This window comes from Homo sapiens, chromosome 16 (assembly GCF_000001405.40).
Source record: "Homo sapiens chromosome 16, GRCh38.p14 Primary Assembly".
Lineage (NCBI taxonomy): Eukaryota > Metazoa > Chordata > Mammalia > Primates > Hominidae > Homo > Homo sapiens.
Genome location: NC_000016.10, coordinates 66,173,377 through 66,184,641, shown reverse-complemented (window position 1 = coordinate 66,184,641; position 11,265 = coordinate 66,173,377). Strand labels below are relative to the sequence as shown.

The 11,265-nt window shown below is 44.2% G+C and overlaps 1 annotated feature.

Moving 5' to 3' along the window:
- Nucleotides 7,155-8,354: an enhancer, noted in NCBI's record as "CDK7 strongly-dependent group 2 enhancer chr16:66210191-66211390 (GRCh37/hg19 assembly coordinates)". NCBI's record gives its function as "activates an origin of replication core promoter dependent on BRD2, BRD4, P300/CBP, MED14 and CDK7 cofactors, with strong dependence on CDK7, by STARR-seq in HCT116 cells {active_cell/tissue: HCT116}" and the evidence as "EXISTENCE:reporter gene assay evidence [ECO:0000049][PMID:35650434]".

Sequence of the window (11,265 nt, the reverse complement as noted above, 5' to 3'; positions counted from 1 at the left end):
GACATGTGCACGAAGGTTCATGACCACAGTTTGTAATGGCCTCAAATTGAAACAACCTATATGCCCATCAATAGGAGAATGAATAAATTAGCTGAGTAATAGTCATAATGGAATACTCTAGAGCAGGGGTTGCCAAACCTTTTCCGTAAATATAATTATAAAGATTTTAGGCTTTGCAGGCCATACAATCTGCCACAGCCACTCAACTCCACCATTGTAGCAGGAAAACAGCCATAGACTAAATACTTAAATGAATGTGTGTGGATGTGTTCCAATAATTTTATTTACAAAAACAGGTGGCCAGTTGGATTTGGCCCAGGGGCCAACTTCCACTCTACAGAAATGAGAATGAATCCACTAGAGTGACTTATATCAACATTGACGAATCCCACCAGTAGGAAGTTGAGTGAAAAAATAAGTTGCAGATGAAATTATATGTATGATATTTGTTATGGACTGAATGTTTTCATTTTTCTCAAGTTTATATGTTGAAATATCACTCTGCCACGTGATGGTATGAGGAGGTGGGGCCTTTGGGAGGTAATCAGGAATAGATGAGATCGTGAGGGTAGAGTGCTTATGAATAGGCTTAGTGCCCTTCTAAGGGTCATGAGAGAGCATGCTTTTCTGCTGTTTTCCTATCATGTGAGGATACACATAGAAATCAGTAGTATGCAACCCAGAACAGGGACCTCACCAGAACCCGACCATGCTGGCATTCCGATTTTGGATTTCCAGGCTCCAGGACTGTGAGAAATAAATTTCTGTTATAAGCCACCCAGTCTATGACAATACCATTTACATAAAGTTTTTAAAACATGCAAAAAATTACCAAATATTGCTTGAGGCATAAATGTATAAATAAAGTAAAATATAAAGAAATGTATTAGGATGATACACACTCAATTCAGGGATAGGAGTTACATCTTGGAGGTGAAGGCAAGGTTGAAAATACAACTGGGGAGGGGGACCTGGGGACTTCAACTATATTTCTAAAATGTTCTTCCTCCTTTCCTCCCTTTCTCTCTCTCCCTTACTTCCTTCCTCCTCCTTCCTCCTCCTTCCTCCTCCTTCCTCCTTCTCCTCTCTCCTTCCTTCCTTCCTTCCTTCCCCTTCCTTTCTCTCTGCCTTGCCTTGCCTGAGGCAGGGCTGTCACTCAGGCTGGAAAGCAGTGGCGTGATCATAGCTCACCGCCGCCTTGAACTCCCGGGCTCAAGCAATCTTCCTGTCTCAGCTTCCTGAGTAGCTGGGACTGCAGGTACACACCACTATGCCTGGCCAGGTTTGATTTCTTAAGCAGTAGAGTAGGTAGGTGAGTGATTGTTGTAGTATTTCCTTATGTTTTTTGTGTATCTTAAATATTGCATAATGTATTTAAAAATAACACAAAATAAAAGAGACTCCTGTAGAGGAGATGGTTTCCATGTCATTTTATGGAATGAAATGTCCAAACTCCATGTGTCCATTAAATCCTTTCCCTGTCCACACTCATGAAACCCAGCTCAGGGTTCTTAGGCAAGACAGTCTCGTCATCATATGATCCTTCTTTTTTTGTCTCCTTTGCTCTGAGAAGATCAGGAGGTAAGAAGCAGATGGAACTTTCTGTGAATGTTTTCTGTTATAACTTCCTGGGACCACATTCTCCCATTTGTTCACACGGGTGTCAGCTGGGTGTAGCAGTTTGGGAAGCCAGGATAGATTCCAGGATGACTGAAATGGTGTGGACTCCAGCCTCTCTCAGGTGAAGGAGCTGCACCCCTAGAGGCTGTCCCCTGACTCCTCAGCCACTCTCAGCACCACCATGGAGCAGACAGTGCGATGACTGGACATCCAAGTCCTTGCACTTCAGGCAAGTGGTTTGTCCTAAGGCCATGTCGTCATCTGAAAATCAGGAGTCATAGTTTCTGCTTCATGTTGCTCTTTGTGAACATGAAGACCTCGCCCATAAAGAACCCAGCAACCTTTCCCAACCCCAAGTGTCTGAAGAGAGGAGGGTACAGCTTACATTTCCTTCAAAAATACACACTCCAATAACAAAGCACAGAGAAGATTAGTTCTTTTTTCCCTTTTAGATTACTGTAATATGCCACTGAATTACATTTAATATTTGCCCTCTTTGGATTCCTTTGCTATTGATTCCAGAAATTGGTACTTGTAAAAGGCCATTGAAGGAAAGGGGGCGTGGCAGGAAGCACAAAATTTAATCATATTTCTTTCAGAGCTTTCTGCATCAGAGAGGGTTTGCTCATTTCTGCTGCCATCACAGTTCTTTCCTTTATTTCCTCCATGGTAAATGAGATCTTTTCTTCTCTCTTCTAAATGTTTACACTTTTGTCAGAAGTCACTGCCCTCATGATTGGTCTGTATATCTAGAATTACAGAATCGCAGTGTCAGAGGAACCTTTAGAGGCCACTTCATGTTGGAAGAATCTTTCCTATAGCTGTTCTGAGAGCTGAGCCTTGGTCTCTGATTGCTTCTGGGGATGAGGACCTCACTACTTGTAGAAAAAGCAGGATTTTGAATTTATTTTTACAGACCCAGGGAGCCAGGAGTCCAACTCCATTACTAATTGCCTGGGCAACCTTGGCCAAAATTTGCCACTCTTCCATGCCTCAGTTTTCTCATTTGCAAAATGGGCCTTTCGCATAATTGCATCTTCCTCATAGGATTGTTATTAGGGTTAAATGAAAATTTGGGCAAGTACTGAGTACAGTGCCTTATGCATAATGTGGGTCAATACAACTTAGCTATTGTGATGATCGTAAGTGAGTTATTTGTCCACAAGCAAGTGGCAGAGCTGTACTGGAACCCAGGCCTCCAGATTTCTGGCTTATGGGCACCACTTAGCCCCACCCCAGTGATAAGGATAGTTGTTTGCCCAGGAAGAATGAACATTGAAATAGCTGGTTATGGTTCCATAACGAAATGCTGGTAATTAAAAGCTACAGCACTCAGCTACAGCCCCCCATGATTACTGGGATTCTTTTAAGTATTCTTTTGCAGAGATGGATGGGATTGTCACGCTTCCACTTCACATATGGAATCTGATTACAGGTGTGCTCAAGAGCCTGAACTGTCTCCAGCAGTGGAGTGCAGGCTTTGATGAGGGTACAAATTAGGGGTGCAATTTCTTGGGGAGCTTAAAAATAACATGCTTAGCCCATTGACAGGGCCTTAGGATACTATTCATTCTTAATTGCTGCTGCAAGGAGTAATGTCTGGCTTATGTTATACACACACACACACACACACACACACACACGCACACAAAAACGCACACACACACACATCTCATCAAAATTTTTCTCTTTTTCTTGCTCAGTTTAAAAATAAAAACCATAATTATTTTGCTTATGGAAATGCTAGGGAAATTTGTTTATTATAACGGCTCAGTGCTGTATTTCTTTTGTCTGAAGGTAACCCCAGCTCCCAGAACATGGAAAACACCTGACTAAGTGTCCTTTGAATTGAGAAACCAAAGTGCTAAGTTAGGTACTAGGTCTCCCTCTGAGATCAGATGGGACTAGGAGCTTTCTCTGGGGAGGAACTTGCTTTTTTTTCTCTTATTTAAAATTAATTTTTTTCTTTATAGTAGTAAATGTGTTCATTGTAAAAAATATAGAAAATTCCTGAAAAGCACGGGCTAGAAACTGAAAATTGTCCTAAGTCTCACAACCAGAGATAACTCCTGTTCGCAGTATAGGCTGCAAGAAATCTAGTTATCTTTATAAAAGAGGTCAAGGCAGGATAATAATACAGGTAATGCCATAAGGAAGCATTCATAGCAGCAGAAAACAAAACTTTTCCTATCCATTTTATGTATTTTAATCTCATTTAATTCTTACAACAACGCTGCTTATATTAGCTTCATTCTACAGATGAGGGGACTTGAATGCTGAAAGTTTAACTTGCCAAAGTCACAATGGTAAGTGGCAGTATGCGCTCTTAATTACCATGTCAAATTGAATATGGAACTTTGAAGCCATCCTTTCGAAACGTCGTGCCCTGTGTGTTTTACCTTATAAAACAAACATTTATGAACAAGGTGTTAACAGGCTGTTGGGTTTTCTAATTGGCTGAACCCAACAGGCTGTTGAGTTCTGTAATTGACTGTGTGAATGGCATGCACATGGCTTATACTTTGTGAACTTCTTTCTATTCCATTGACTGTCTGCACCAACAATGTACTTAAATGATCTTGTTACCGAAATGCCAGGGTTTGGTCTAGGTTCTGTTGCTCACTGCACAGAAAGCCAATCACTGAGACAAGTATTGCCAGGAAAGAATGCTTTTTATTTGGGTGATGCCAACCAGGAGGATGGGAGATAAGTCTCAAATCTGTCTCCCCAACTGACTAAAATTAGGGGTTTATATAGCAGTGAAGAAATGTAACTACATGAAGGAAAACAGGAATTAGGTTAGGGTCAGGAAACAATCATATTGAATGAGGGGTCTGGTCCCTCTTTGTCCATATGTGGTGATCTGGTAAGTTTCAATTCCTTGATACTATCTGGGATGCCTGAAGATCAGTTTTCTGAGAAAGGAACTCAGATAAGACAAATGCAAGTTTGAAGCTTTAAGATCAGGAGGGTCAATTTCTATGTTTATCCAAAAATTATAAACCTTTGTTCTATGAGTAAGTTGGGCTGGTCTTAATCCCCTGGTTTTGGATATGTAGGTATTTGATATTTTTTATTATCAAATCCCTGCAAGGTCTATATTTGCAGTTAAGGCTTTGTCTGCATTTGATCATTTCCCTAGGAAAGATTCACAGATGTGTTGTAGTCAAGTCTGAGTTTTTGGTGGTGTTAAGCCACCACCAGTGTGGGCATCTAACAGCCAGGCAGGTGAGTGTTCTGGAGATGTAGTGAAGTCATAGACAAACGTACCCAAAGGTTGAAGTCTCCAGCCAGAGTGCTGGGGCTCAGACTCCCTAGGTGTTGCCCTTAGTTCTTCTGTGGGAAGGACCTTTTTCTCACATTGAGGCCTTTTGCACTCCCTGGGCAGACCTCACACAATGGACAACAGATGACTTCACTGTCATCTGCTATCTGCAATCCAGGCCTGTGCATCCTGGGTCGTGGAGAACTTTGAGGCAGTTTGAGCACTGACTTTGTCATTTCACTAGGAGATGACTGGAAATAAATTCATCTGGACCTACACTTCCCAACATTTTTTGGCTTGAAGATTTTCCTTCATAGTAAGAAATTGTCTCAAAAAAAATACCCTTTTTGAATTTTCAAATGTCTTTAAAAAAAGTTTTCATGTGATAAAGGCTAAAAATGTGACTTTTAGGCAAGAAATGGTATTACATGATGTATTATTAAAACCTGAGTTTTTAAAACCCTTTAAAATAAAATTATAAATCATATTCATAATATAGAAAAGGCAAATTTTGACCTTTTGTCAGTTAAGAAATGACCAGTGACACTTCATGAAGTATGAAAAAGCATGATTTGCTGGCAAATAGATTAAAAATTGACATTTGCCACCATGTTTGGGTTTGGGATCAAATATATACTTCATGTGACCCAAAATTTGACCTTACATTACAGCTTCAGAAATAGGTACACGTTGTTTTTATGCTCTGACATTTGAGATGCCTAAAATTTTGCTTACAATTAAAACTGTTCTTTTAAGTAAATTTAGCATTTTGTTTCTAAATGACATGAGAGAGGGTTTCAGGCTACTTTTGCAAGCCTGTCTTCACTAATAACATCCCACAGGCTGCAGCTGGTCTTTATTTTTAATAAATACAATGTCAATTGGACAGATAGTTACTCTATTTTCTCTTTAGAAAATGACTTTTGAAGTTGTGGAGACAGCTTGATGAGTTCCTTTAGCATTTTGTTCAGATGGATGCAATTTCTAATCCTGGTGGAGATGGTCTGGGGGTGAATTGGCATCACTTTTGTGTTCCTCATGTATTCCCACATCCTATGGGGAAAAACCTGATGTTTCAGACCCACTGCCAGCTGACCTCTGCTGAACCCTTCACAGATGCCCTTGGCCAGCCCTGGAAGGCTCTCGAAACATTCCGCTTTAAACAGAAAACATTTCCATTGATAATTGTGTTTATTGTTTTTTAAAGAATAAAATCGAAGCAGACAGTTTTATCACCATAATGACTGAAAACCCTCAGATGTGTTTGTGAGCCCTGGGGCATGGGGTTTTGAACCCCCAATTGAAAGCTGGTCATCTGGCTGGGTGCGGTGGCTCATGCTTGTAATCCCAGCAGTTTGGGAGGTCGAGGTGAGCCAATCATGAGGTCAAGAGATCAAGACCATCCTGGCCAACACGGTGAAACCCCATCTCTACTAAAAATATAAAAATTATCTGGGCATGGGTGGCGCACACCTGCAGTCCCAACTACTTGGGAGGCTGAGGCAGGAGAATCACTTAAACTTGGGAGGCGGAGGTTGCAGTGGGCCGAGATTACACCACTGCACTTCAGCCTGGTGACAGAGCAAGACTCTGTCTCAAAAAAAAGAAAGTCATCAGGGCAAATGCTCCCTCCAGCCTTTTGCTGGGCACTTGCTGCGTCACTTTGGACTCAGTGCTTCACACAGGATGCCATGGTTGGAGGCCAGATTTCTTTCATGGCCCCCATTTAGAGCATTTTCTGAAGGGAAGGCATCAGGAATTCGGGGTTGGGCTTGGGGCCTGGGTGTTAGGAACCCCTGTTGATTCCTTTAGCACAGCTTCTCCTCTCTCTCTCTCTGGGCCTCAGTTTCCTCACCTGCAAAACAAAAGCACTGAATTATATGATGCTGAATCATAGGCTAGGATTTAGATTCTTTCTTAAGCACAAAATCCCTTTTCTTCCTATCCCATGACAGATCAATTTTAGGCACCAATCTGTTCCCTTGGAAAAAATTATTTGAAGGAAGCTCTCTCATGGGAGCCACAAACCTTGCTTGGAGAAGGGTTGAGAGAGGCCAGAGCACCATCCTTACTCTCATTCTCCCTTATGAATAGTGAGCTACTCTTGGGTTGTGACTTTAGTGGCACCGAGAGCTCCAGAAAATTCCCTTTACCTTGTTTTGAAGCTGTTTTTTTTAATGGGTATTCCTTTTATTCTATAGGGAGGAGAGAGTGCTGTGAACTGAATTGTGTTCACAGCAATCCAGTTCATATGTTGAAGCCCTCATCGCCAGTGTGATGGTATTTGGAGACAGGGCCTTTGGAGGTAATTAGGTTTAGATGAGGCCATGAGGGTGGGGTCTTCATGGTAGGATTATTGCCGTTCTAAGAAGAGGCACAAGAGAGTTTGCTTGGTCTTTTTCCCCACATGAGGATACAGTGAGAAGGTGGTCTATACTCCAGGAAGAGGGTCCCCACTAGAAAGCAGACATACTGGCACCCTGGTCTTGGACTTCAAGCCTCCAGAACTGTGGGAAAATAAATTTCTGTTGTTTAAGCCATCCCATCTGTACTATTTGGTTATGACGGCCCAAGCAGATGAAGACAGAGAGACAGAGAGAGAGCTATGAATTTTTTTTAGCAAGGATAAGTTGATGGAGGAGGCAAAAATCAAAATAGAACTCAGCTTTTGAGACCTGCTTCCTTAGGAACCGGAGCTGGGCCAGCCCTCTGGGGTGAAGGATTCCTTAGTCCTGGAATCTTCCAGACTCAGGAAAACTGGCAGCCTTCTCCATTGGTTTCTTACCTGCAGCTCCAGTTCTAGCTTCCAAATGGTGTGGCACCTAAATCCTGGAGCCCTGGGCCAGAGCCTGATGATTTGTAGGAAGTCCTGGAATTCTCTAATAGAATTCCTAGGAGCCAGAGTGAGGTCCTCTGCCTGAGTTCTCAGCTGAGGAAATTGAGATCTAGAGAAGAGAACGCATCCAGGGCTGCACAGAGACTTAGAGGCAGAGCCTGGGATGGAGCCCAAGTCACCTGGGTCCCAGTTTAGGCCTTTTGCACAGCCTGGGTGATGGTCACTGGGGAGGAGGTCTCCCCCAATCTGCTCACCTCCTTCCTCCATCACTTCATCATGAAGTGTTTTGGTCTTTGTGTCATATCAAGGTAAGTAATTAAATTCCCTTGGGGTGGGAGCTGCCAAGATTGAGACGTAGATGTCGGAGGGTCTTTTAGCCCAACTTCCCCGATTTTGAAAAATCTGGGATCCTGGATGATCTAGCGCCTTCTGCTACAAAAGAAGGAGAGATGAATTTTGCCTGGCAGAGAAGTGGTCCAGGGAGGCTCCCGGAGGAGACGGTGCTTGAGCCGGAATCAAAGGATGAGCCTGCGTCAGTGCATTGTCATCAGGGGGCACAGAGGACAGCAGGGACAGGTGTGGGGGCAGCCTGGTGGAAATGGGCACTGGGAGTGGGGTAGGTGGGGCAGCAGGTACAGGAGGGTGGCTGTGCCAGGGTGGGGACGGGCACTGCATCCCATAAGAAAGACGACACTTTCCTTCCAGGCAACCAGCAACTACAGAAGAGTGGCTTAGAAAGATGAGTTCCCTCTGTGTCTGCCCCAAAAGAATGTCCCTGCTGGCATTTGGAAAGCAATGGGTTAATAGCTTGAGGGCTGCCTCCCCACCCTCACAAACTTCTTCACGACAGGTTGGGCCATAATTCTCTCTAATAAAATAATATGAAGCTCATTTATGCTCCTGTTCCAATGTTCCTGGACTTCATTAAGCACAGAGGGATTAAAAACTTGTATAAATTAATCAATGTACCATAATCCTAAAAATTAGAAGATGAGTCCTTGAGGAAGTAATGTAATGCGGGCTTTTTAATTAGCAGGGCCCTGGAGATTCATTGCTCTCCCCTGCAAGTCTCCTGTTTTTGAATTGTTTTATCCTTTGAAGAGGAAGGCCCCGCAGATGGCAGGCCTGTCATAAGGAAGTGGTAAAAGCTGCACTAATTCCCCAGGCTAATACCCTCCTCGGAGCCAGAGTAGAGTGACACAGCCGGCCTCCCTCTTCTCCCCCAGCAAGAGATAACTTTGAAAAGGAAACTTAAAGAGAAGGATCCAGAGGGGAAATAAGCTACTTTTATTCTTCTTACTAGGCATGTGGTATTAAGAGCATAGATTTTGGAGTCAGGTAGATCTGGGTTTGAATTTTGGTGTGGCTGCTCACTGGCTCTGTGAAGGCAGCCAGGTCGTCTAGCCTCTTACAGTCTCTATTTCCTCATCTGTTCTAGGTCTTTGTGAGAATTGCCTCCTGGTATCAAATGAGAATGCCCTACAGACCCAGGAGGCTTCCCGAGCAATCTCCTCTTTCCCCCTTTCCAATATGGGACGAATGGCCTGCCAAGGACAAGTCTACTTGGGCTCACTGCCACATTCCTGCCTGCCTGGGCTTGGCAGCCTATTCCTTTCTTGACCCTTCCCTCTTCTTAGCTTATCCCCTGACTCCCAACAGCCTTGAGCTGTGCCCAGTCTTTCCATTCCAAAGAAATTGACATAGGATTTTTCTTCTTAGTCTCTTTGCAAGCTGGGATTCCTGGCTGGCGATGACCCACCCAGGCCTCACTTGGCGATGCTGGCGTGGCTCACCTGTGTTATAGCTTGTACCCATGTTTGGCAGTTCCTGAGCTCTTGCACTTCACCCAAGAAGAATAAGGATACACTGGACATTCAAGGATGAGGAGGGTGGAGAAGAATTTTATTGAGCAATGAAAACGGCTTTCAGCAGAAGGGGGACGCAGGGTTGGTCCCCCTATCCAAAGGTGGTAAAGTTCCTCATGTGGCTGGGTCCAGGGCCTTTTATGGACTCAGAATGGGGAGTGCGTGCTGATTGGTTTGTGAGTATGCAAAAAAGGTTAAAGCGAAGACACCACTCAAAGGCGGGCATAGCAGTGTAGAAGACACAATTAGGAAAGAGTAGGTATGTGTAAAACAGGTGAAGGATGGGGACCAATCTGAGGAAAACGTGCCAAACAGGAAGACAAGTCCTCAATCCAGTCTAAGGATTTAACTTGTAGCTTGGCTTTCAGGCTTTAAACTGTCTTCGGCTTGGAGGTGGGGCTTCACTCGGGACCCACCCCTATCTGCCTAGGCATTTGGCTGCCTCCTGCTGCGCTGCCGCTCTCAAAACCAAATATAGCTTTCTCAACCCCACTCCTCCTTCTTCTAGCTACAACCTGTTGCCTCTCACTGCCTTTGCATCTTGCACTGGCCTCACCTGCTCACCCTCAGTCCACTAGAAGTTCGCTGTTATCCTTAAGGTGACATGAGCATTTTCCTTATTAAGATCTCCAGTGTTTATCTCACTTGACCTCCTGGCACCAATGGACTCAGATGAGCCTTCCCTCCTGGTCAGAGCCCCCTCTGGTTTCCTTCTGGCTCTTTGGACACTCCTCAGACTCATTATTATTTTTCCCTTTTAAAAAATTTATTATTATTATTATTATTATTATTATTTTAGACAGAGTCTAACTCTGTTGCTCAGGCTGGAGTGCAATGGCGTGATCTTGGCTCACCGCAACCTCCACCTCCTGGGTTCAAGCGATTCTCCTGCCTCAGCCTCCTGAGTAGCTGGGATTACAGGCATGCGCCACCATGCCTGGCTAATTTTGTATTTTAGTAGAGACGGGGTTTCTCCTTGTTGGTCAGGCTGGTCTTCAAGTCCCGACCTCAGGTGATTCGCCCACCTCGGCCTCCCAAAGTGCTGGGATTACAAGCGTGAGACACCGTGCCCGGCTTTTTTCACCTTTTTATCCCACCAGTGTTGGTGTTTCTCTGGTTCATTCTCCACACTGCTCACAGGGGACGCTCATCTGCTCCATATGAGCTCCACCACCTAGGCTCCTGGCTCCCACAGTCCTTTCTGGTTCAATGTTTTGCTCTGCTCTAGACTCCAAAATCCAAAGCCTCATTGACCAGTCTGCTTTGATGGCTTTCTAGCCATCAGGCTCAGGATGTCCATGAGAAAGCCCAACTTCTTCCCCACCCAAGGGTGTTTCTTCTTCTTCTTTTTTTTTTGAGATGGAATCTCGCTCTGTCGCCAAGCTGGAGTGCAGTGGCATGATCTTGGCTCACTGCAACATCTGCCTCCCAGGTTCAAGCAATTCTCTAGCCTCAGCCTTCTGAGTAGCTGGGACTTCAGGAGCATACCACCACGCCCAGCTAATTTTTGTATTTTTAGTAGAGACAGGATTTCACCATGTTGGCCAGGATGGTCTCGATCTCTTGACCTTGTGATCCACCCACCTCAGCCTCCCAGAGTGCTGGGATTACAGGTGTGAGCCACCGTGCCCGGCCTGGGTGTTTCTTCTTTAGAGCATCAATCTAGATAATGGAGCCAA